The sequence below is a fragment of the Homo sapiens genome, chromosome 19, assembly GCF_000001405.40.
Source record: "Homo sapiens chromosome 19, GRCh38.p14 Primary Assembly".
Taxonomy (NCBI): domain Eukaryota; kingdom Metazoa; phylum Chordata; class Mammalia; order Primates; family Hominidae; genus Homo; species Homo sapiens.
The window spans coordinates 8,876,877-8,903,418 of record NC_000019.10 but is presented as its reverse complement, the minus strand read 5'-3'; the positions used below and the strand labels follow the sequence as shown (position 1 = coordinate 8,903,418).

General features: G+C 46.6%; 1 protein-coding gene across 4 annotated transcripts in view; it reads left to right on the top strand.

Annotated features, from left to right (window-relative positions):
• The window catches only part of MUC16 (mucin 16, cell surface associated), a gene marked incomplete in the record, with an annotated part of 216,908 nt that overhangs the window by 162,333 nt on the left and 28,033 nt on the right, over window positions 1–26,542 (top strand). For 3 of the 4 annotated variants that reach the window (NM_001414686.1, NM_001401501.2, NM_001414687.1), the window contains 40 exon segments: window positions 185–250; window positions 1,197–1,321; window positions 1,560–1,627; window positions 2,601–2,773; window positions 3,089–3,124; window positions 3,382–3,447; window positions 4,383–4,507; window positions 4,761–4,828; window positions 5,750–5,922; window positions 6,251–6,286; window positions 6,543–6,610; window positions 7,142–7,147; window positions 7,149–7,151; window positions 7,153–7,155; window positions 7,175–7,183; window positions 7,314–7,319; window positions 7,322–7,453; window positions 7,684–7,751; window positions 8,364–8,536; window positions 8,866–8,901; window positions 9,161–9,226; window positions 10,405–10,529; window positions 10,735–10,802; window positions 11,422–11,594; window positions 11,907–11,942; window positions 12,199–12,264; window positions 13,529–13,653; window positions 13,881–13,948; window positions 14,531–14,703; window positions 15,035–15,070; window positions 15,332–15,397; window positions 16,559–16,683; window positions 16,910–16,977; window positions 17,602–17,774; window positions 18,106–18,141; window positions 18,395–18,460; window positions 19,557–19,678; window positions 19,886–19,953; window positions 20,550–20,722; window positions 21,053–21,088. In NM_001414686.1, the coding sequence (NP_001401615.1) occupies window positions 185–250; window positions 1,197–1,321; window positions 1,560–1,627; window positions 2,601–2,773; window positions 3,089–3,124; window positions 3,382–3,447; window positions 4,383–4,507; window positions 4,761–4,828; window positions 5,750–5,922; window positions 6,251–6,286; window positions 6,543–6,610; window positions 7,142–7,147; window positions 7,149–7,151; window positions 7,153–7,155; window positions 7,175–7,183; window positions 7,314–7,319; window positions 7,322–7,453; window positions 7,684–7,751; window positions 8,364–8,536; window positions 8,866–8,901; window positions 9,161–9,226; window positions 10,405–10,529; window positions 10,735–10,802; window positions 11,422–11,594; window positions 11,907–11,942; window positions 12,199–12,264; window positions 13,529–13,653; window positions 13,881–13,948; window positions 14,531–14,703; window positions 15,035–15,070; window positions 15,332–15,397; window positions 16,559–16,683; window positions 16,910–16,977; window positions 17,602–17,774; window positions 18,106–18,141; window positions 18,395–18,460; window positions 19,557–19,678; window positions 19,886–19,953; window positions 20,550–20,722; window positions 21,053–21,088 (3,309 nt within the window). 4 annotated transcript variants of the gene reach the window in all.

Below are 26,542 nucleotides of genomic sequence, written 5' to 3'. Positions count from 1 at the left end.
CCCATAAGAACTCCTCTTGAGCAAAGGAGCTAGGAAGGCAGAAGTTACTCAAGCTCCCCTCTGCCCCTACTCCAAAGACAGTCCTAGCTCAAGCCCACATGCAGCAGACCTTATAATAGTCTACCCTCTTTCCATTTCTGCCATGAGAGTGCTTTCTGCTTTCACTGATGAGGACTCTTTTCAGCTCCTGGGACCTCCACAGTGGACCTTGGGACCTCAGGGACTCCATCCTCCCTCCCCAGCCCTACATGTAAGTACCAGTCAATGACATGTCTATTAGATCATGCCTGATGAATATGAACATCTGTGCCGTTTTCACTCAAATGAAGATGGAAAATCATAGTAAATCTAGTGATACTGAGTGAACCAAAAAAATGTATTGGCCACCTACATTGTACCAGACCCTAGGGATACAGCAAGGAAAATAAAACCAATAAAAACATCTCTGCCCTCAGTGAGCTTGTGTTCATGTGACGATGATAGTGATGGTGGTTATGATAGTAATAATGACATGTTGAGTGGGATGCTGTTGATGATGGTGATGCTGTTGATGATGGTGATGCTGTTGATGATGGTGATGCTGTTGATGATGGCGGTGGTGATATTACTGATGATGATGGTGATGGACTTGAGGATATTGTCCGTGATGGTCGTGAAGATTATGATGATAATGATGATGTGTTAAGTGTGATGATGATGATGACTGTGGTGATGCTGTTTAGGATGCTGACCGTGGTACCGATGATATTGATGTTGGTCGTGGTTATGTTGATGACAATGACAATGATGGTGATGAGGATAATGCCAGTGATGGTGTGGGGTTATGATGATGATGATGTGTTGAATGTGGTGATGATAATGTTCGTGGTGGTCGTGATGGGCATTACTATGGCAGTGATGGTCATAATAATGATGGTGATGGTGACAATGATAGCAAGGATGATGATGGCAATAAAGATAGTACATAACATCAGACAATATTGAGCTCTGAATATGCACCACGAGGAGTGCTCAGCATCTAAATACTATTATATAATATATTTTTGTAAAAATAAATTGTATTGTTTTAGGCAAGGGAAGCATGGTAAATATTTTGTCACTCAATTTAAATTCTGCATATGTTTAAAGATAAGTCTATTGCAAACTCCTATTTTCTCTACTTTGGACATAGTGTTTGTTTCCCACCTCCACTACAGCTGCTGGCCCTCTCCTGGTGCCATTCACCCTCAACTTCACCATCACCAACCTGCAGTACGAGGAGGACATGCATCACCCAGGCTCCAGGAAGTTCAACACCACGGAGCGGGTCCTGCAGGGTCTGGTTAGTGCTCCACCCTCCTCACTCCGCCCCACCCCAGAGAGTCAGTACCTCCTACATCATCCATGCCAGGTGATGGAACAAGATCATACCCACCTCACCCTTGCCCCAAGAGATGCAAGCCATGCCCATTGAAACCAGCCCCACTCACTGATGCCTGTTCTGCCCACCTGACTTCTGCCCTACACACCCACACACGCAACTTAGCCCTCCTACTCATCTCCTTCTCCCTCCTCCACAGCTTGGTCCCATGTTCAAGAACACCAGTGTCGGCCTTCTGTACTCTGGCTGCAGACTGACCTTGCTCAGGTGAGACCTTAGAAGATCAAGCTTGGCTGCCCCACTTGTTCTCACTCCAATCGACTTTGCACTGCTTCCTTGCTGCACTTCCTAGGGATATCCTCACCAAAGGTGGAATTCAGGAGTCACTGGCTTCATGACCAATGTGTTTTCTGATAGTAACACCCCCAAACCCCACCTCAACAGGGAGAATCTGAATGGCCCATCATCAGGATTGAGCCTCTACCCTGATCATCCCTCTGAATTCCCTCCTGTCCCTGCACCTCCCTTTCCTTTAGGTCTTAAATTCTGTCCCCAGGATTTCTCTCAAGATGATCGTGCCTCATCCACAGGCTTTCATGCCCATTTCCAGCTCTTCATTGGTCTCACGTCTGGTGTCTCTGTCCCCATGCCATGAGAATGCAGGTTTTAACTTGCACTTTTTTATTTTATTTTATTTTATTTTATTTTATTTTATTTTATTTTATTTTATTTTATTTTATTTTATTTTATTATTTCATTGTTGAAACATAGTCTTACTGCACACCAGGCTGGTCTCAGCTCAGTGCAACCTCCGCCTTCCATGTTCAAGTGATTCTCCTGCCTCAGCCTCCCAAGTAGCTGGGATTACAGGCACCCACCACTATACTCAGCAAATTTTTGTATTTTTTGTAGAGACTGGGTTTCACCATGTTGACCAGGCTAGTCTTGAACTCCTGACCTCAAGTGATCTGCCCGCCTTGGCCTCCCAAAGTGCTGGGATTACAGACATGAGGCACTGTGCCAAGCCACTTTGCACTTTCATAAAAATTCTTGTATTCATTACCCTGCTTGCAGTTCAAAGCAAGCCAGTAGTCGGTGCATTCAGAGAATCTAAGTGTGATTTCTCACCTCTTTCCCAGACTTCTCATTTCCTCTGGTTCCTTGCAGTCCTTCCCTCAGCAATCTCAAAACCCTTCCTAGTTAATCTTTTGATTGCATTCCTCCCACCTTCCTTCCCCAGGCCTGAGAAGAATGGGGCAGCCACTGGAATGGATGCCATCTGCAGCCACCGTCTTGACCCCAAAAGCCCTGGACTCAACAGAGAGCAGCTGTACTGGGAGCTGAGCCAGCTGACCCATGGCATCAAAGAGCTGGGCCCCTACACCCTGGACAGGAACAGTCTCTATGTCAATGGTGAACAGATGTGATGTGGTTGGAGTCTCTTCCTCCCTGCTGAGCAGACTCTAATCTCTGGCTTGGGGGCATACTCTCTGCCTGGCCATTGAAAATTCTGTTATGTGCTCTACATGGGATGACTAAGTTCTGGACTTCATGGTTTCTTCGTCATCGTGAACTGCATTCCCTCAGGGCATTCTTCTCTGTTGTGAGGATGCCGATAGGAAACTTTTAATGGTCCCTGTCCCATGGCACCAGGATAGCCATGACCCCTATTGCATCCCCCACATCTCCTTAATCCTTACACAATTTTCTCCCTCCTTCTCTATGCAGGTTTCACCCATCGGAGCTCTGTGGCCCCCACCAGCAGTGAGTATTCAACTCAAGTCCACATGCCCCTGATCCTACACCAAGCACAGCAGAAGCTGCCCCTCCTCATAAACCCATAAGTCCTCCTCATGAGCAAAGGAGCTGGGAAGGCTGAAGTTATTGAAGCTCCCTTCCACCCCAGCTCCAAAGACAGGCCCAGCTCATGCCCACATGCAGCAGACCTCATAATAGTCCCCTGTTTGGCCATTTCTGCCATGAGAGTGCTTCTGCTTTCACTGATGAGGACTTTTCCTCAGCTCCTGGGACCTCCACAGTGGACCTTGGGACCTCAGGGACTCCATCCTCCCTCCCCAGCCCCACAAGTAAGTACCAGTCAATGACATCTCTATTACAGCATGCCTGATGAGTGTGAACATCTCTGCCATTTTCACTCAAATAAAGATGTAAAATTATAGTAAATCTGGTAATAGTGAGTGAACCAAAAATATTTGTTGGCCACCTACTGTGTACCAGACCCAAGGGATACAGCAAGGAAAACAAAACCAATAAAAATGTCTCTGCCCTCAGTGAGCTTTTTTATTCATGTGATGATGATAGTGGTGGTGGTGCTAGTTGTTGATGATGATGATGATCATGATCATGGTAATGATCATGATGGTAATGCTGTTGATGATGGTGGTGGTGCTGTTGATGATGATGATGATGATGATGATAGTGATGCTGTTGATGATAATGGTGTTGATGTTGCCGACCATGATGATGATGGATATGAAGATGATGTCAGTGACGGTTATGATGTTAGTGATGATGATGGTGGTGGTGGTGGTGCTATTTATGATGATGATGATGAAACTGGTGATGTTGATGACAATAACTGGTGATGGTGGTGAGGATGATGCCAGAGATGGTCATGGGGTTATGATGATAATAGTGATGTGTTGAGTGTGGTGATGATGATGCTTGTGGTGGTCATGGTGGGGATTATTATGATGGTGGTGATAATAAAGATTGTGATTGTGACAATGATAGCAATGATGATGATGGCAATAATAAAGATAACAGGTAACATCAGAGAATATTGAGCACTGAATATGAACCAAGAGCTATGCTCAGCATCTAACTACTATTTTATATAATATCCTTTAAAAAATAAATTCTGTCATTGAAGGCAAGGGATGCATGGTAAATATTTATTTTGTCAGTCAATTAAATACTGCCTATATTTAAAGATAACTATATTGCAAACTCCTATTTTCTCTCCTTTGAACATAGTGTTTATTTCCCCCTCCCACTACAGCAGCTGTTCCTCTCCTGGTGCCGTTCACCCTCAACTTTACCATCACCAATCTGCAGTATGGGGAGGACATGCGTCACCCTGGCTCCAGGAAGTTCAACACCACAGAGAGGGTCCTGCAGGGTCTGGTTAGTGCCCTGCCCTCCTCACTCTGCCCTGACCAAGATACTCAGTCCCTCCTACAACATCCAAGCCAGGGTAATGGGAGAAGAATGTACCCACTTCGTCCTTGCCCCCAGAGATGCAAGACTCACCCACTGAGGCCAGCCACGCCCACTGAAGCTAGCCTCACCCACTAGGCCCTGCCTCACTCACCTTATTTCTGCACCCACACACAGGGACCTTAGCCCTCCTACTCATCTCTCTGTCCCTTTTCCACAGCTTGGTCCCTTGTTCAAGAACTCCAGTGTCGGCCCTCTGTACTCTGGCTGCAGACTGATCTCTCTCAGGTGAGGCTAGAATAGCCAGCCTAGCTGTCCCAATTATTCTCACTCCAAAAGGCTTTGCACTGCTTCCTTGCTGCACTTCCTAGAGATATCCTCACCAAAGGTGGGTTTCAGCAGTCACTGGCTTCAGGACCAGTGTGTCTCCTGATAGTAACACCCCCACACTCCACCTCAACAGAGAGAATCTGCATTGTCCATCATCAGAATTGAGCCCCTACCCTGGTCATCACTCTGAATTCCCTCCTTTCCCTGCCCCTCCCTTTCATTTAGGTGTTAAATTCTGTCCCCAGGATTTCTCTCAAGACAATCATGCCTCAGCCACGTGCTTTCATCCTCATTTCCAGCTCTTCACTGGCCTCAAGTCTGGGCTCTCCTGTCCCCATGCCATGAGAATGCAGAATTCACTTTGCACTTTTTTTTTTTTTTGAGACAGAGTTTCACTCTTGTTGCCCAGGCTGGAGTGCAATCGCACAATCTCGGCTCACTGCAACCTCTGCCTCCCAGGTTCAAGCGATTCTCCTGCCTCAGCCTCCCGAGTAGCCGGGATTACAGGCATGGGCCACCACACCCGGCTAATTTTGTATTTTTAGTAGAGACAGGGTTTCTCCATGTTGGTCAGGCTGGTCTTGAACTCCTGACCTCAGGTGATCCACCTGCCTCGGCCTCCCAAAGTGCTGGGATTACAGGCGTGAGACACCATACCCAGCCTCACCTTGCACTTTTATCAAAACTGTTGTATTCATGACTCTGCTCACAGTCTCTAACAAGCCAGTAGTCTGCGCACTCAGAGAATCTAAGTGTGGCTTCTCACCTCTTTCCCAGGTTTCTCATATCCTCTGGTTCCTTGCCGTCCTTCTCTCAGCAATCTCAAGACCCATCCTAGGTAATCTTTTCATTGTCATTCTCCCCACCTACCTTCCCCAGGTCTGAGAAGGATGGGGCAGCCACTGGAGTGGATGCCATCTGCACCCACCACCTTAACCCTCAAAGCCCTGGACTGGACAGGGAGCAGCTGTACTGGCAGCTGAGCCAGATGACCAATGGCATCAAAGAGCTGGGCCCCTACACCCTGGACCGGAACAGTCTCTACGTCAATGGTGAGTGGCTGTGATGTGGTTGAAGTCTCTTCCTCCTTGCTGAGCAGCAGCTAATCTCTAACTAGAGGTCACACTTCCTGCCTGGCAATTGAAAATTCTGTCACTTGTTTTACATGGGATGACTAAGTTCTGGACTTCATAGTTTCTTTATCACCGTAGATTGTGTTCCCTCAGGGCATTCTTTGCTGATATGAGGATGCTGATAGGAAATCTTCAAATGCCCCGTACCATGAAATTCATTCCTTTGCACCAGGGTAGCCTTGACCCCTATTTGGTTGCCAATGTCTCCTTAACCCTTACGCACTCTCCTGCCTCCTTCCCTATGCAGGTTTCACCCATCGGAGCTCTGGGCTCACCACCAGCAGTGAGTATTCAACTCATGTCCACATGCCCCTGATTCTACACCAAGCGGAACAGGAGCTACTCCTCCTCATAAACCCATAGGTCCTCTTCTTCAGCAAAGGAGATAAGAGGGCAGCAGTTACTCAAGCTCTGCTCTGCCCCAGCTCCAAAGACTGACCCATCTCTAGCCACACAGGCAGCGGACCCCATAGTCTCCCCTCTTGCCATTTCTGTCATGAGAGTGCTTCCTGCTTTCACTGATGAGGACTTTTTCTCAGCTCCTTGGACTTCCACAGTTGACCTTGGAACCTCAGGGACTCCATCCCCCGTCCCCAGCCCCACAAGTAAGTACCAGTCAATGGCATCTCTGTTAGAGCATGCCTGATGTAAACGTCTGTGCCATTTTCATTCAAATAAAGATAGAAAATCATAATAAGTCTAGTGATAGTGAGTGAACCAAAAAAATTAATTGGCCACCTACAGTGTACCAGACCCTAGGGATACAGCAAGGAAAATAAAACCAGTAAAAACATCTCTGCCCTCAGTGAGCTTCTGTTTATGTGATGATGATGATGATGATGGTGGTGGTGATGATGACAATAATACTACTGATGGTGGCAATCATGGTGATATTGACAGTGATGATGGTGATGATGATAATGGTGATGGAGGTGATGATTGGGATGATGATGGTTGTGGTGTTAATGGTGATAATGATGATGGTGGTGGTGGTGTTGGGGTTGGTGCTGATGGTGGTGATGATAATAATACTCATGGAGACAATCATGGTGATGTTGAAAATGAAGGTGGTGTTAACAACGGCACTAGATAGTATCTGGCACTATGGAACACTGAATATGCACCAAGACCTATGCTCAGCCTCTAACTACTATTTAATGTGCTCTCTCAAGAACAGCTATCATAATAGTCAAAGGAGGCATGAAAACATTATGTTTTATCACTCACTTTAAATCCTGTTGCATATGTTTAGAAATAAGTCTATTGCAAACTCTTAAATTTTCTCTACTTTTGAACATAGTGTTTATTTCCCACCTTCACTATAGCCACCGGCCCTCTCCTGGTGCCATTCACACTCAACTTCACCATCACTAACCTACAGTATGAGGAGAACATGGGTCACCCTGGCTCCAGGAAGTTCAACATCACGGAGAGTGTTCTGCAGGGTCTGGTAAGAGCCCCACCTATCTCACTCTGCCCTATCCACCTTACCTAGTCCCACCTATGTCACCTATATGGCCATGGAAGATCTCACCCACCTCCCCTCACCCCAAGAGATAAAAGCCCCATACAACCTACTGATGTCAGCTCCACCAACTACAGCCAGCCCCACCCACCTCACTTCTGCCGTGCCTCTACTTCTTCAGCCCTGCCACTCACCTCCCTCTCCCTCCCCAACAGCTCAAGCCCTTGTTCAAGAGCACCAGTGTTGGCCCTCTGTATTCTGGCTGCAGACTGACCTTGCTCAGGTGAGACCTTAGAATTTCCAGTGTGGCTGCCCCGATTATTCCTAGTCTCAATGAGTTTGGACTTCTTTTTTCCTGTCCTCTTTGTGATTATTCTTATCAAAGATGGAATCCAGGAAACTGGCTCCAGGACTAACCTGTCTCCTGGTATTAGCAGTGCCCCCGCCCCCACTTCCAAACTGACTGAGAGATTCCAGAGTCCATCAACAGGACTGGACTTCTGCCCTGGCCATTCCTCAGAATTCCCTGTTTTCCCCCCACCTCCCTTGACTTTAGGTGTTAAACTCTGTAACCAGGATTTCTCTCAAGACAAACATGCCTCAACCACTTGTTTTCATCCCCAATTCCAGCTCTTCAGCTATCTCAAGTCTGAGCTCTCCTGTTTCCATGCTTTAAGAATGCAGGATCCACCCTGCCATTTTGGGAAAACTGTTATATCCACAACTATGCTCACAGTCCCAAGCAGTCCAGTACACTCAGGGAATCTAAGTATTGCTTCCCACCTCTGTATTAGACTTTTTACTTCCTCTGTCCTTCTTGTCCTACACTCTGCCATCTCAAGACCTCTCCTTAGGCAATTCATTTATTGCCATTCCCCTCACCACCTCTCCCCAGGCCTGAGAAGGATGGAGTAGCCACCAGAGTGGACGCCATCTGCACCCACCGCCCTGACCCCAAAATCCCTGGGCTAGACAGACAGCAGCTATACTGGGAGCTGAGCCAGCTGACCCACAGCATCACTGAGCTGGGACCCTACACCCTGGATAGGGACAGTCTCTATGTCAATGGTAAGCAGCTCTGATGTGATTAGAGTCTCTTTCTCCTGCCTGGGCAGCCTCTACTCTCTTACTTGAGGTCACATGCCCTGCTTGGACACTGAAGGCTAGGACACGTCTGTATGTGGTGATTGATGTCAGAATTTCATGATTTCTTCTTTATCTTGAACTGATTTCATCCTTAGTAGCTTCTTCCCTGATACTCAGATTCTGACAGAGAATCTCCAAAGGCCCCTGTTCCATGAAACTCCTTTCATTCCACCAGGGTAGCCCTGACTTTTTTTTGACCCCCTACCTCCCCCTTGACTCTTATCCACACTCCTCCCTCCCTCTCTATGCAGGTTTCACCCAGCGGAGCTCTGTGCCCACCACCAGCAGTGAGTATTCTACTGATGTTCCCATGGCCCCAATCTTACAACAAACTTAGCAGGAGCTGACCCCTATTCATAAGCCCTTATGTCCTTTCCATAAGGGAAGGAACATAGAGGACACAAATTATTCCCCTTCCCCACTGCCCCAGCTAATCAGAATCCCAGCTGAAGCCCCACAGGCAAAAATCCCCATGAATAGTCCCTCCTGCTGGCATTACTTCCATGAGAGCACTTGCTCCTTTCACTGTTGAGGGCTTCTCCTCAGCTCCTGGGACTTTCACAGTACAGCCGGAAACCTCTGAGACTCCATCATCCCTCCCTGGCCCCACAGGTAAATACCAGTCAATGGTATTTGGAGCATGGTTGATGAGTGTAAACATCTCTGTTTATACTCTGTTAGAGCATGGTTGATGAGTGTAAACATCTCTGTCATTATTCACTCAACTAAAGATGGAAATTCATAGTAAATGTAGTAACCATAGGTCAACCAACCCAGTTCATTGAGCACTGCCTCTGTATCAGGACCTGGATATACATCAGGGAACAAAAAAAGAAAAAACACTGCCCTCAGTGAGCTTATATTATTGTGATGATGATGATGATGGGGGTGGCGGTGATGATGATTGCAGTGGTGGTGGTGGTGGTGGTGATGGTAAGGATAATGATGATTATGCTGGTGGTAATCATGGGAAGAATGATGGTGGTGGTGGGGATTACAATTGACAATAATTATGGGGATTTTGACAATAATGATAATAATAATGATGATGATGACGGTTGTGTTGATTGTGGTGATGATGTTGGAGTGGTGATGATAACAATGGTGACAATGATGGTAAAGATGATGATGGTTGTTTGGATGATGACAGTAATGTTGCTGGTTATGATGCTAATGATGATGTGATTATGGTGATGATGATGATGTTTGTGGTGGTGTTGATGTGGATTGTGACATTCGTGATGGTGAGGATGACAATAGTGATGGCGATAGTGATTATGATGACAATGATCGTGATGATGATTATTCAGATAATGACAGTGATGATGATTATGATGGTAATGATGATATGACTATGGTGATAATGATGTTTGTGGTAGTATTGATGGGGATTATCGTTGTGGTGATGGTCTTGGTGCTGATGCTGACAATAATGGTGATGATGATGATGATGATGATGATAATGGTGATGACAAAGGTAACAGGTAATATCTGATATTTTTCAGCACTGAATATGCACCAAAAGCTGGGCTCAGAATCTAACAAATATTATGTAATATGCTTTTTAAAAAAATAATTTCTATCAAGAAGGGCATGGAAACCTTTAATTTTGTCATTCATTTTAAATTCTGTTGCATATGATTAAAAATAAACTTATTGCAAACTCTTCAAGTCTATTGCAAAAGTCGAGAAACTTGAGGAGTTTGCAATAGACTTATTTTTAACTATATGCAACAGATTAAAAATACAAACAAACACAATAGTGTTTGTTTCCACACCTTTTACTACAGCCACTGGCCCTGTCCTGCTGCCATTCACCCTCAATTTTACCATCACTAACCTGCAGTATGAGGAGGACATGCGTCGCCCTGGCTCCAGGAAGTTCAACACCACGGAGAGGGTCCTTCAGGGTCTGGTGAGACCCCTGTCCAACTTACTCTGCCCCTCCCACGTTACCTGGTCCCAACAACATCACCCATGCCAGGGCCATGGAAGAAAATCTCATCCATCTCCCCTAGAGACACAAGCCCTGCCCACTGGTGCCAGCTGCACTCGCCACACTTGTGCCCCACCACTATATCCCCAGCCCTCCTAGTCACCTCCCTCTCCCTCTTCCACAGCTTATGCCCTTGTTCAAGAACACCAGTGTCAGCTCTCTGTACTCTGGTTGCAGACTGACCTTGCTCAGGTGAGACTTTAGAAGAGCTAGCCTAGCTGCCCCAATTGTTCCTAGTCGCAAAGAGTTTGGATTGTTTTTTTTTTTCCTGCCATCCCTGTGAATGTCCTCACAACAGATGGAATTCGGGAAGCATTGGCTTCAAAACTAATCTGTCTCCTGATACCATCAGCACCACCCCAATCAACTGCGAGATTCTGCAGAGTCCATGAGGAGAATTGTGCTTCTACCTTGGTCATCCCTCTGAATTCCCTCCTTTCCACCCACCTCCCTTTCCTCCAGTTGTTAAATTCTGTCCCCAGGATTTCTCACAAGACAAGCATGCCTCATCCACTTGCTTTCATCCCCAATTCCAGCTCTTCATCTGTCTCATGTCTGAGTACTCTTGTCTCCATGCCATGAGAATGCAGGCTTTACTTTGCAATTTTATAAAAAGTTCTTGCATCTATGACTCTGTTCACAGTCCTGGGCTGGCTGGCAGCCGGGACACTCAGAGAATCTAAATGTGACTTATTACCTCTTTCCCAGGCTTCTCATTTCCTCTGGCCCCTTCCTGTCTGGCCCCAGGAAATCTCAGAACTCCTCCTGAGGCAATTTTTAAATTGTTATTTGCTTCATCTGCCCTCCCTAGGCCTGAGAAGGATGGGGCAGCCACCAGAGTGGATGCTGTCTGCACCCATCGTCCTGACCCCAAAAGCCCTGGACTGGACAGAGAGCGGCTGTACTGGAAGCTGAGCCAGCTGACCCACGGCATCACTGAGCTGGGCCCCTACACCCTGGACAGGCACAGTCTCTATGTCAATGGTGAGCAACTTTGATGTGGTTGGAGTCTCTTCCTCCTTGCTGGACAGCCTCTATTCTCTGGCCTGAGGTCACACTTCCCGTCTGGCTATTGAAGGCTCAACCATGTTGTCTGTATGTGGTGGCTAAGGTCAAAACTTCGTGGTTTCTTCTTCATCTCAAACTGAATTTACCCTCAGGATCTGCTTTCTAAATCTGAGGGTGCTGATAGAGAATCTTCAATGGCCCGTGTTCTGGGAAATTCCTTCTGTTGCACCAGGGTACCCCACCACTCCCTTAACACTTACCCACTCTCGTCCCTCCATCTCAATGCAGGTTTCACCCATCAGAGCTCTATGACGACCACCAGAAGTGAGTATTAACTGATGTTCCAGTGCTCCTGATCCTACATCATAAAGGGCAGGAGCTTACCTCTCCTTCTATGCCCCTATATCCTCTTCATGAGGGAAGGAAGAGAGAGCACAAGTTATTCCCCTTTCCCTCTGGCCCAGCTCCAGATGGAGATACTGCCCCACATGCAGCAAGGGCCATAAATACTCCTACCTGCTGGTGTTTCTGCCATGAGAGGGTTTGCTGCTTTCACTAATACAGCAAACCTTCTCCTCAGCTCCTGATACCTCCACAATGCACCTGGCAACCTCGAGAACTCCAGCCTCCCTGTCTGGACCCATGAGTGAGTACTATTCAGTGTCATCTCTATTACAGCATGCCTGAGGAGTGTCAACATCTCTGCCATTTTCTTTTCTTTCTTTTTTTTCTTTTTTGAGACATAGTCTTGCTCTGTCACCCAGGCTAGAATGCAATGGCGTGATCTCAGCCCACTGCAACCTCTGCCTCCTAGGTTCAAGCGATTCTCCTGCCTCCACCTCCTGAGTAGCTGGGATTACAGGTGCATGCCACCATGCCCAGCTAATTTTTATATTTTTAGTAGAGGTGGAGCTTCACCATATTGGTCAAACTGATCTCGAACTCCTGACCTCGTGATCTGTCTGCCTTGGCCCCCCAAAGTGCTGGGATTACAGGCGTGAGCCACCGCACCTGGCCTACAACTCCACCATTTTCACTCAAATAAAAATGAAAAGTCCTAGTGAATCTAGTGATGACAAGTCAACCGACAAATTTTGTTGAGCGTCTGGCTTCTTCGGGGCCCTAGGGATAAGGCAGGGAACACAAAAGAAATAAAAATCTCTATCCTCAGGAAGGTTATATTGTTGTGATGATGATGATAATGATAGGGATGATGGACATGATGACAACAATGATGGTGTTGCTGATGATGGTGATGATGATGATGATGGTGGTAGTGGTTTTGATGGTGATGATGATGATAGTGGTGGTGATGATTATGGGAAGGATGATAGTGGTGGTGGTGATGTGATGGTTCTGATGGCAATTGACAATGTGATCATGATGTTGACAATGAGGATAATGATGGTGGTGATGATGATAATGATGTTGGTGGTGATGGTGGTTATGATAGTAAGAATGATATGATAATGGTGTTAGTGACCATGTGCTAGTGGTGATTATATGGATGATGATGGTTGTGGTGCTGGTGGTGTAATGATGATGATGGGTGGGGATCATAGGGATTATGATGGTCATGGTTTTGGTGCTGATGCTGGTGGTGATGACAATAATGATAGCGATGGTCACAGTGTTGCTGATGTTGATGATGATCGTGGTGTTGGCAAAGGTAGTAGATAATGTCTAGTAGTATGGAATACTGAATATGCACCAAGAGCTGTGCTTAGCATCTAACTACTATTATTTAGTATGCTCTATGAGAACTATGTACCATTACAGTGAAGGGAGGCGTGAAAACCTTTTATTTTGTCACTTTAAATCATGTTGCATATGTTTAGAAACAATTCTATCACAAATTCTTAAGTGTTAGTCTACTTTTGAACACTGTTTATTTCCCATCTTCACTATAGCCGCCAGCCCTCTCCTGGTGCTATTCACAATTAACTTCACCATCACTAACCTGCGGTATGAGGAGAACATGCATCACCCTGGCTCTAGAAAGTTTAACACCACGGAGAGAGTCCTTCAGGGTCTGGTAAGAGCCCCACATACCTCATTCTACCCCACTCACCATGTTTAGTCCTGCCCACCTCACCTATTGCAGAGCATGGAAGATCTCATCTACCTCATCTTGCCCCCAGATATGCATACCCCAACCACTGATGCCAGCCCCACCAACTGTTGCCAGCCCTGCCCACCTCCCTTCTACCACACCCCTATGACTTCAGTCCTCCCACTCACCTCCCTCTCCCTCCTCCACAGCTCAGGCCTGTGTTCAAGAACACCAGTGTTGGCCCTCTGTACTCTGGCTGCAGACTGACCTTGCTCAGGTGAGAACTGAGAACAGCCAGTCTGACTGATCTGAGCAGTTTGACCTGCTTCCCTTCTGCACTCCCTGGAGATGTCCGCAGCCAGGTGGAATCCAGGAGGCAGTGGCTCTAAGACCAATGTGCTTCCTGTTCCCACCACCTCCCACCTCAACTGAGAGATGCAGAGCCCATCAGCAGGACTGAGCTTCTACCTTGGTCATCCCTCTGAATTCCCTCCTTTCCCCTACCTGCCTTTCCACAAGTGGTTCAATTCTGTTCCCAGGATTTCTCCCAAGAAAAACATGCCTCGTCCACTTGCTTTCATCCCCAAACCTAGCTCTTCACCTGTCTCAAGTATGAGTTCTCCTTACCCCATGCTACAAGAATGCAGTTTCCACTTTGCAATTTTATAAAAATCCTTGCATCCATGATTCTGCTCATAGTTGCTAAGAGTCAGTGCACTCAGAGAATGGAAGTATGGCTTCTCACTTCTCTACCAGGCTTCTCATTTCCTCTGGCCCCCTCCTGTCCTGCCCTGTGGGATCTCAGAACCCCTCCCTAGGCAATCCGTGTATTGTCTTTCCCCAATCTTGCCCTCCCCAGGCCCAAGAAGGATGGGGCAGCCACCAAAGTGGATGCCATCTGCACCTACCGCCCTGATCCCAAAAGCCCTGGACTGGACAGAGAGCAGCTATACTGGGAGCTGAGCCAGCTGACCCACAGCATCACTGAGCTGGGCCCCTACACCCTGGACAGGGACAGTCTCTATGTCAATGGTGAGTAGTTGTGATGTGGTTGGAGTCTCTTCCTCCTTGCTGGGCAGCCTCTACTCTCTGCCTTGAGGTCACGCTCCCTGCCTGGCTATTGAATGCTCATCCATGTTGTCTGTATGTGATGGCTGAGGTTGGAACTTCATGGTTTCTATTTCATCTTGGACTGAGTTCATCCTCAGGATCTGCTTTCTGGATCTGAGGGTGCTGATAGAGAATCTTCAATGGTTCGTGTTCTGGGAAATTCCTTCCATTGCACCAGGGTACCCTGACCCCTATATAGTTCCCCACCACTCCCTTAACCCTTACCCACCCTCTTCCCTCCCTCTCTATGCAGGTTTCACACAGCGGAGCTCTGTGCCCACCACTAGCAGTGAGTATCCACTGATTTCCAGTGCTCCTGATCCTACATCATGCAGGGCAAGAACTGACCCCTCCTCACATGCCCCTATGTCCTCTATGAGCAAAGGAGCTGGGACAGCACAAGTTACTCCCTTTCCCTTCTGGCCCAAGTCTCTTCAGAGAGAGACCCAGCTCAAGCCCCACATGCAGCAAGGTCCATAAATACTCCTACCTGCTGGCATTTCTGCCATGAGAGGGTTCAACACTTTCACTAATGAGGCCTTCTCCTCAGTTCCTGGGACCCCCACAGTGGACCTGGGAACATCTGGGACTCCAGTTTCTAAACCTGGTCCCTCGGGTAAGTACAAATCAATCGCATCTCTGTTAGAGCATGCCTGATGACTGTCAACATCTCTGCCATTTTCACTTAAATAAAGATAAAAAATCCTAGTGAATCTACGGATGAGGAGTCATCCAGCAAACTTAATTGAGTGCCTAGTTTCTGCAGGGCTCTAGGGATAAGGAAGGGGACACAAAACAGTTAAAAATATCTGCTGCAAGAAAGCTTATTTTATTGTGAGGGTGATGGGAGTTGGTGGTGGTGAAGTTACTGGAGATGATGACAATAAGAATGGTGATGCTAGTGATGATGATGGTGATAAGGATGATAATTATGAAGATGGTGGTGGTGATGATGATGATGGTGGTGGCAGGGGTTATGATGGTGATGCTGTGATGATGATTACAATGGTGGTGGTGATTATGGGAAGGATGATAGTGGTGTTGGTGATGGTGGTAGTCTTGGTAGTGATTGACAATAGTAATGACGATGTTGACAATGAGAATAATGATGATGATGGTAGTGGTGGTGGTTATGATGGTAATCATGTGATGATGATCAGGACAGTTGTGGGGGTGATTATGGGAAGAATGATGGTGGTAAGGATGGTGGCGGTTGTGGTAGTGATTGACAATAGTGATTGTGATGGTTACAATGAAGATAATGATGATTATAATGATGATGGTTGTGATGGTGGTTGTGGTGATGAGAATAATGATGATACGACAATGGTGTTGGTAATCATGGTGCTGGTGATCATGATGCAAATGATGATGATTGTGGTGGTGGTGATGATGATGATGATGGTAGTGGGGATGCTACCACACTGTTGGTCATGATTTTGGTGCTGATGTGGGTGGTGCTGATGCTGGTGGTGATGACAATAATAGTGAGGGTCACAGTGTTGGTGACATTGATGATGACAATGGTAATAATAAAGGTAACAGATAATATTTAGTATTATAGAACTCTGAATATGCACCAAGAGGTATGCTAACTACTACTATTATTTAGTAGGCTTTGTTAGAAACTTCTGTTGTTATAGTCAAGGGACGCATGGAAACTTTTTATATTATTCTCTCTTTAAATCCTGTTGCATATGTTTAGAAGTAGGCCTTTTGGAAATATATAAAGTTCTCCACTTTTGAACATGTTGTTTCTTTCCCACCTCCACGACAGCTGCCAGCCCTCTCCTGGTGCTATTCACTCTCAACTTCACCATCACCAACCTGCGGTATGAGGAGAACATGCAGCACCCTGGCTCCAGGAAGTTCAACACCACGGAGAGGGTCCTTCAGGGCCTGGTAAGAGCCCCGCCCATCTCACTCTGCCCAGTTCACCTTGTCTAGTTCCACCTGTCTCACTCATGACAGGGCATGGAAGAAGATCTCACCCACCTCCTCTCACACCCAGAGCCGTGAGCCCCCATCCACTGATGCCAGGCCCGCCTACTGGTGCCAGCCCCAATGACTAGTCCCCTGACGCTACCCCCTCAGCCATCCTACTCACCTCCCTCTCCCTCTCCCACAGCTCAGGTCCCTGTTCAAGAGCACCAGTGTTGGCCCTCTGTACTCTGGCTGCAGACTGACTTTGCTCAGGTGAGACCTTAGAATTGCCAACCTGTCTGCCCCAATTGTTCCCAGTCTCCATGAGTGTGGACTTCTTTTTTCTTGCCCTCTCTGTGGTTATTCTGATCAAAGATGGAACTCAAGGAACAGTGGCTCCAAGACTAACCTGTCTCCCAATATTACCACTGCCCCCTGCCATCACACCCAAATTGACTGAGAGTTTCCACAGGGTCCATCAGCAGGATTGGACTTCCACCCTGGCCATCCCTCTGAATTCCCTCTTTTCTCCCCACCTCCCTTGCCCTTAGGTGTTAAATTCTCTAACTAAGATTTCTCTCAAGACAAATGTGCCTCATTCACTTGTTTAATTCCCAATTCCAGCTTGTCACCTGTCTCAAGTCTAGGCTGTCCTGTCCCCATGCCATGAGAATGCAAGAACCACACTGAAATGTTAGAAAAATTCTTTTATCCACAAGTATGCTCACCGTCCCAAGCTGGACAGTAGTCAGTGCACTCAGAGAATCTAAGTGTGGCTTCTCATCTGTGTACCAGGCTTCTCATTTCCTGTGGCCCCTTCTTGTCCTTCCCTCAGCAATCTTGGGACTCCTCCCTAGACAAAACTTTATTATTATTCCCCTCACCTGCCCTCTCCAGGCCTGAAAAGGATGGGACAGCCACTGGAGTGGATGCCATCTGCACCCACCACCCTGACCCCAAAAGCCCTAGGCTGGACAGAGAGCAGCTGTATTGGGAGCTGAGCCAGCTGACCCACAATATCACTGAGCTGGGCCCCTATGCCCTGGACAACGACAGCCTCTTTGTCAATGGTGAGCAATTGTGATGTGGTTGGAGTTTCTTCTTCCTTGCTGAGCAGGCCTCTACTCTCTGTCTTGAGGTCACTCTCCCTGCCTGGCCACTGGTCTTGGCCATGTTGTCTGTATTTGATGATTGATATGAACTTCACCGTTTCTTCTTCATCTTGTACTGGAGACCTTCATCCTCAGGACCTTCTTCCCTGATCTGAGTGTACTTGTATAGAATCCTCAAAGCCCATGTTCCCTGAAACTCCTTCAATTGCACCATGGTAGCACTGACCCCTTTTGGTCCCCCACCTTTCCCTTAACCCTTTCCCACTCTCCTCCCTCCCTCTCTATGCAGGTTTCACTCATCGGAGCTCTGTGTCCACCACCAGCAGTGAGTATTCTACTAATGTTCCAGTAACCCCAGTCCTACTCCAAGCAGGACAGGAGCTGACCCCCTTCTCCTATGCCCCTATATCTTCTTCATGAGGGAAAGATCTGAGAGGGCACAAGTGATTCCCTTTCCCTCTGGCCCAGCTCCAGAGAGACACTAATCTCAAGCCCCACATGCAGAAATATTCCTATCTGCTGGCATTTCTGCCATGAAAGAGCTTATGCTGCTTTAACCAATGCGGGCTTCTCCTCAGCTCCTGGGACCCCCACAGTGTATCTGGGAGCATCTAAGACTCCAGCCTCGATATTTGGCCCTTCAGGTAAGTACCAGTCAATGGCACCTCTATTAGAGTATGCATGATGAGTGTCAACATCTCTGTCCTTTTCACTCAAATAAGATTAAAAATCATAGCAAATTTACTGATGATGAGTCACCCAACAAACTTCTTTGAGTACCCACTCTCTGCCAGGCCCTAGAGATAAGGCAGGGAACACAAAAGAGGTAAAAATCTCTGCCCTCAGAGAGCTTCTTTTATTTTGAGGATGATGTGGGATAGTGGTGATGATGATGTTGCTGGAGATGATTACAATAATGATGGTGATGCTTATGACCATGATGTGATGATGATGGTGATTATGAAGATGATGATGATGATATTGATGATGGTAGTGGTTTTGACAGTAATGATGATGTGATGATGATGATGATAGTGGTGGTGGTGATTATGGGAAGGATGACAGTGGTGGTGGTGATGGTGGTGGTTGTGGTGGTGATTGACAATGTGGTGGTGATATTGACAATGAGGATGATGATGATAGTGGTGGTGGTTATGATGGTTAAGGATGATGTGATGATGGTGTTGGTGATCACGGTACTAGTGGTGGTGATGTGGACCGTCATGGTTGTGGTTGTGGTGGTGATGGTGGTGATCATGATGATAATGAGGATGATGGTGGTGATTGTCATGATGGTAAGGATGAAACAGTGATGGTGTTGGTGACCATGTTCCTGGTGGTGATGGTGCAGGTGATGATGTGGATGATGATGGTGATGGTGGTGGAGATGATAGGGATTATGAAGATCATGGTTTTTGTCCTGATGGTGGTGGTGATGACAATAATGAAAATGATGGTCACAGTGTTGGTGATGATGATGGTGGTGATAACAAAGGTAATAGATAGTGTCTAGTATTATGGAACACAGAACATCACCAAAGGTTATGCTCAGCATCTAACTATTATTATTTAGCATGCTCTATGAAAAACTTTGATCGTTATAGTCAAGGGAGGCATGAAAACCTTCTATTTTATCACTCTCTTTAAATCTGGTTGCATATGTTTAGAAATAAATCTATTACAAACTCTTAAATGTTCTCTACTTTTGAACATAGTGTTTATTTCCCACCTCCACTACAGCTGCCAGCCATCTCCTGATACTATTCACCCTCAACTTCACCATCACTAACCTGCGGTATGAGGAGAACATGTGGCCTGGCTCCAGGAAGTTCAACACTACAGAGAGGGTCCTTCAGGGCCTGGTGAGAGCCCTGCCCACCTCACTCTGCCCTGCCCACCTTGTCTTGTTCCACCTACGTCACCCATTCCAAGGCATGGAAGAAGATCTCACCCACCTCCCCTCACCTGAGAGATAGCCCCGCCCCCTGATTACAGCCCCTTCCACCTTACATCTTCCTCACTTCTATGTCCTCAGCCATCTTACTCACCTCCCTCTTCCTCCTCCACAGCTAAGGCCCTTGTTCAAGAACACCAGTGTTGGCCCTCTGTACTCTGGCTGCAGGCTGACCTTGCTCAGGTGAGAACTGAGAATAACCAGTCTGGCTACCCCAAGTGTTCCCAGGCCCAAGGAGTTTCATCAGCTTTCTTCCTTCCCTCCCTATGGAAGTCCTCAGCACAAGTGGAATTCAGGCGTTGGTGGCTCCAGGATGAACATATCTGCTGATCCTACCACCTCCCCCATCAATCGAGAGAATTTGCAGGGCCCATCAGCCAGATCAGGCTTCTACTTTGGTCATCCTTCTGAATTTCTTACTTCTCCCTACCTCCCTCTCCTTCAGGTGTTAAATTCTCTTCCAAGGTTTCTCTCAAGATAAACATCCCCCATCCACTTGCTTTCATCCCCAATTCCAGCTCTTAATATTTCTCAAGTCTGGGCTCTCCTGTCCCCATACCATGAGAATGCAATTTTATAAAATTCTTGTATTCCTGACTCTACTCACATTCCCAGGCTGCCTGGAAGTTGGTGCATTCAGAGAATCTTAGTATGGCTTCTCACCTGTCTACCAGGATTCTCATTTCCTCTGTCCCCTTCCTGTCCTGCCCCCAGGAATCTCAGGATGCCTCCCCATAGGCAATCTATTTAATGTCATCCCCCTTATCTGCCCTCCCTAGGCCAGAGAAAGATGGGGAAGCCACCGGAGTGGATGCCATCTGCACCCACCGCCCTGACCCCACAGGCCCTGGGCTGGACAGAGAGCAGCTGTATTTGGAGCTGAGCCAGCTGACCCACAGCATCACTGAGCTGGGCCCCTACACACTGGACAGGGACAGTCTCTATGTCAATGGTGAGCGGCTGTGATGTGGTTGGAGATTCTTCCTCTTTGCTGGACAGCTTCTTACTCTCTGACTTGAGGTCACACTCCCTGACTGGCCATTGACGTCTTGGCTATGTTGTCTGTATGTGATGACTGATGTCTGAACTTCATAGTTTCTTCATCTTGGACTGAGTTCATCCTCAGTACCTTCTTCCCTGATCTGAGGGTACTGATAGAGAATCTTCAAAGGCCCCTGTTCCTTGAAACTTCTTCCATTCCACTAGGGTATCTGTGACCCCTATTTGATTCCCCACCTCTCCCTTAACCCTTACCCACTCTCCTCCCTCCTTCTCTGTGCAGGTTTCACCCATCGGAGCTCTGTACCCACCACCAGCAGTGAGTATTCAACCGATGCTCCAGTAGCCCCAATTATACACCAAGCAGGGCAGGAGCTGTCCTGTCTTCCTATGCCCCTATGTCCTCTTCATAAAGGAAGGGGCTGGGAGGGCACAAGTTATTCCCTTTCCCTTCTGGCCAGCTCCAGAGAGAGACCCAGCTCAGGCCCGATATGCAGCAAGGCCTGTAAATAGTTTTATTTGCTGACCTTTCTGCCATGAGAGGCTTGGATGCTTCCCCTGAAGAGGGTTTCTCTGTAGCTCTTGGGACTACCACAGTGGACCTGGGAAACTCTGGGGATCCACCCCTTCTACTGGTCCCTTGAATAAGTACCAGCCAATGGCACCTCTGTTAGAGCATGGCTGATGAGTGTAAACATCTCTTCCATTATTCAGTCAAATAAAGATGGAAATTCTTTATAAATCTAGTGATGATGAGCCAACCAACAAACTTTATTGAGCATTGTGACAAGCCCTGGGGCTCTGCCAAATCCTGGGGATATGGCATGGATCATGAAACAATTAATAATCTCTCCTCTCAGAGAGCTATTTTTATGATGATACTGATGGTGGCAATGATGATGATGTTGATGGTGATTATGACCATGATGACAATGGTGATGGTGGTGGTGATGATGGTAATGATGATGATGGTGATGTTGGTAATGATGGTGGTGATTATGACAATAATGATGGTGATGGTGACAGGGATGGTGATGATTATGATGGTGGTGGTGATAACAAAGTTAATGGATAATATATGAACTTATTGGCTACTGAATATGCACCAAAGTGCTATGCTCAGTGTTTAACTAGTACTATTTAATATGATTTCTAAAAAAAATCTTGAATTATTATAGGCAGAAGAATCATGGGAACCTTTTATTTTGTCACTCACTTTAAGTCCTATTGCATATTTTTTAAGTCAATTGCAAACACAGTTTCTCTGCTTTGAACATTGTGTTTATATCCAGTCACCCCAATAGTGCATAAACCTGCTGATTGGAGCAACTGTGTCTTACTCCCTTGTGCTTCCCTAGTATCTGCTTCAGGACCTTGTACATGGTAGATCGACAGATTTAGATCTACAGGAAAATATGGATTTTCCCAGGGAAGGAAGGAATGAAGTATGCTTTCTTATAATGTATGGAAACTTTCCTCTTCTGCCTTGGTTCAACTTTAGTGTCTGCCAGAGTTTACACTGGAAAACTATATGGCATCTGCTCCACTCCCTCATCCATGACAGACATCATTAATTGATTGCAGCATTCATGGCAGACATCACCAATTGATAATAGCATTCATTTTCTCTCAGTTCAAAACAGCTTCAGAATGGTTACCAAAAAAAAAAAATTCAGTCGCTACCAATTCAATTGGAGCTGACTCAGGATTATGGGACAGAATTCAAGAGAGTTAGGTTCCTTGATGATGTGTAGTTGGCTCTTTGGTTTTCCTAGAAGGCTCAGCTCAGGCTCAGCTTGGTCATTGCTGATATCCTTTCTTCCACTTGGTCGATTTGGCTGTTGATACTTATGTATGCTTCACGAAGTTTTTGTGCTGTGTTTTTCAGCTCCATCGGTTGGTTTATGTTCCTCTCTAAACTGGTTATTCTAGTTAGCAATTCCTTTAACCTTTCATCAAGGTGCTTAGCTTTGCATTGCATTAGAACATGCTCCTTTAGCTCATCGTACTTTTTTATTGCCCATCTTCTGAAGCCTACTTCTGTCAATTCATCCATCTGATCCTCCATCCAGTTCTGCACCCTTAATGGAGAGATGTTGCGGTCATTTGGAGGAAAAGAGGCACTCTGGCCTTTTGGGTTTTCAGCATTTTTTTGTTGATTATTTCCCATCTTCAGGAGTTTTAGTTTCAGGCTTTGAGGCTGCTGATCCTTGGATGGGGTTTTTATGGGGGTCTTTTGGTTGTTGTTGTTGATGATGATGATGTTATTGTCACTTTCTGCTTGTTTTTCTTTCAATAGTCAGGTCCCTCTTCTGTAGGGCTGCTGCAGTTTGCTAGGGGTTCACTTCAGGCCCTATTCATCTGATTCGCTCCCATGTCTGGAGGTGTCACTCAAGGAGGCTTGGAGAGCAGCGAACATAGGTGCCTGCTTCTTCTGGGACCTCTGACCTCGAGGGACACCAACCTGATGCCAGTAGGATCGCTCCTGTGTAGGGTGTCTGACAACTATTGTTGGAGGGTTTCGCCCAGTTGACTGGCATGGAGAGCAGGACCCATTTAATGAAGCACTTTGTCCCCTGGTGGAGAGGGGGTTCTTCACTGGGGGGAAACCACATGTCTGGGCTGCTTGGATTCCTCAGAACTACCAGAGGAGAGGCTAAGTCTGCTGGTCCACAGAGACTACAGCCATCCCTCCCACTAGGGGCCCAAGCCCAGGGAGTCCAAATTCTGTCTCTGAGCCTCTGGCTGGAGTCTTTGGAGATCCTGCAAGGAAGCTCTGCCCACTGAGGAAGGATGGGTCAGGGTTAGCCCTGAAGAGGCACTCTGGCTGCAGACTGCCACAGCCGGTGTGTTGGGCTGTGGGGACAAGTCTTGGGACCAAGCCGTCCAGCCTACCCGGCTCTAGCAGGGGAAAAGTACAGCCTGGAGCTATTGAAAGGGGTGCCGCCCTTCCCCCGCCCAGGGAGCTTAGCGTGTTAGGCAGTTGTGAGTCCAGTGCTGGCTGTCGCCCCTTCCCCAAGGAACAAAAAAGACTTAGCAGGCAGCCGCAGCCAGTGCTGGTCGCCCCTCCCCCGGGGAGTTCCGTAGGCTTAGGCAGATTCCAGCTGTAAGAATCTGCGTGTTCTGGGGTTGGGACACTAGGTCCCAGTGGCATGGGTTCGCGAGTGAGATCTTCCAATCTGTGAGTTGCACAGTTCCGTGGAAAAAGCACAGTTTCCCCCTCTTGGGTAGCCCGCTCACTCACCACCTCCCTTGGCTGGAAGGAGGGGGTTCCCCTTCCCCGTGTGTCTCTCAGGTGGGCCACCACACCACACTGCTCTTCCTTCTCTCTGTGGGTCACTGCCAGCCTTCTAGTCAATTTTGATGAGGGAACCTGGACATTTTGGTTGCCAGGAAGGATCACACACTTATTACAGTTTTTTTCAATGTGAGCCTCTGAGCGCTGCTGCTTATAGTCGACCATCTTGGCCCCCAGAGTCACACATCTGTTATTTTTTGATGTTTTGATTGTGGCAATTCTTGCAGAAGTAAGGTGGTATCACCTTATGGTTTTGATTTCCCTGGTCATTAGTGATGTTGAACATTTTTTTCATATGTTCATTAGCCATTTGTATATATTCTTTCAACAACTGTCTATTTATGTCCTTAGCCCACTTTTTGATGGGATTGTTTTTTTCTTGCCAATTTGTTTGAGTTCGTTGTAGATTCTAGATATTAGTCCTTTGTTGGATATATAGATTGTGAAGATTTTCTCCCACTCTGTGGGTTGTCTGTTTACTCTACTGACTGTGAAGGAAAAGTCAATTTCTTATACGAATTTGTCTCACTCCTACTTCCAAATGAGATCCTGGGGTTTTTTTTTTCTGTTAATCCTTCACAATACTTCTCCCACTTTTTTGAACTCATTTGTTTATATTCTGTTGTCTGCTTCTCTTTTATAGGAATGTGACTTCTTATGGGCTTTCTCTATTATACCACATATGGGTTTTTGTTTTGTTTTGTTTTGTTTTGTTTTGTTTTTGTCCTCGGATCCATTCTCCAACCTCCTCCAGCCTTCCCGTGCTCTGTGGGATAGACGTCTGACTCATGAAAACTACATTTCCCAGGCTCCCATGCTAACTAGCTTCCTGTTAGGTTCAGCCAATAGGAGGCATTGGTGGGACAATGGTGGGCGGGGCTATGGAAGGGCCAGAGTATTTCTGTACCCCGCCCCCCTGCTCCCCTTCCAATGTTCCTGGAGCGGTGTAGGACCAATACTGTATATATGGAAGGAAGGCAAGGTGGATAGATGGAAGGAAGAAGTGACAGATGGAAAGAAGAAGTGATAAATGGAAGGAGGAAGGGAGAGAGGATGGATGAGTGGATTGAAGAAAGAAAAAAATGGATGAAAGAAAAAAGGAGGAGGAAAGATGGATAAGTAGATGGAAGGAAGAAAAGAGAGGTGTAAGAAAGGAAAGATTGATGATGGATGGATGAATGGATCAGTGGGTGAGTGGGTGAAGGGATGAATGGATGGATGGACAGATGGATGAACAGATGGGTGGGTGGATAGATGGATGGATGGATAAATGGGTAGGTGGATGGATGGATGGATGGACAGATGGGTGGGTAGGTGGATGGATGGATAGATGGATGGATAAGTGAATGGATGGATGGATGGATGGATGGATAAATGGATGGATGGGTGAAAGGAAGGAAAGAAGTGAGAGAAGGAAGAGGAAGGATAGACAGATGTTAGAAGGTACAATGAAAGGAAGGAAGCCAGCAAGAAAGAAAGGATGCATTAATAGAATGAAAGATGGAAGGGAAGAAGAAAGGATGGAAAGAGAGAAGGAAGAATGAACAGAAGGAAGTTCAAGAGTGGTGAAAAGAAGAAAGGCAGGGAGAGAAGGAGAAGTAAACTTTTCTTCTAGAGATTTGTCTTAAACCTTAGCTTGGCTGGACACTGTGGTTCACGCCTGTAATCCCAGCACTTTGGGAGGCCGAGGCGGGTGGATCATGAGGTCAGGAGATCAAGACCATCCTGGCTAACACGGTGAAACCCTGTCTCTACTAAAAATACAAAAAAAATTTAGTCAGGTGTGGTGGTGCATGCCTGTGGTCCCAGCTACTCAGGAGGCTGAGGCAGGAGAATGGCATAAAACCTGGGAGGCAGAGCTTGCAGTGAGCCAAGATCACACCACTGCACTCTAGCCTGGGCGACAAAGTGAGACTCTGTCTCAAACAAAAACAAAACAAAAAAACAAAAACAAAAAACAAAACCAAACCAAAACAAAAAAAAAAACCTTAACTCATACTTTCATAAAGTTCCACACACAGGGAGTGATTAGAAAGCATTTGCTGATATATTTTATATAATAAACATGTACACCATATTGACCTGTGTGCCCAGCAGTGCTTACATGATTTACAATGATTAACTTGTTTAAGCTTCATAACAACGGTTGAGGCAGGAAACATCATTGTGAACCATTGTCATCTCATTTTACAGATGAGTAAACTGAAGTGCTGAGAGGTTGGTTATGGCTGCAAAGATTGTTGGCCATGTTAACCAATGCATAGAAGATTAGCATACCTGGTTGTGAGTGCAGGAGAGAGAGAGAAATGGGAGAAAGGCAGAGAAGGATCGATGGGGAGAGAGGAAGAGAGAGAGAGAGAATAAATTTTTTAAAAATGTCTAGAGTCATGACTTCCGCATCAGTGTGGTAATATGCAGCCTTTACCCTGGGAAAGATCAGAACCATTGGTACTTTTTACAGAATCTTCCCTTCCT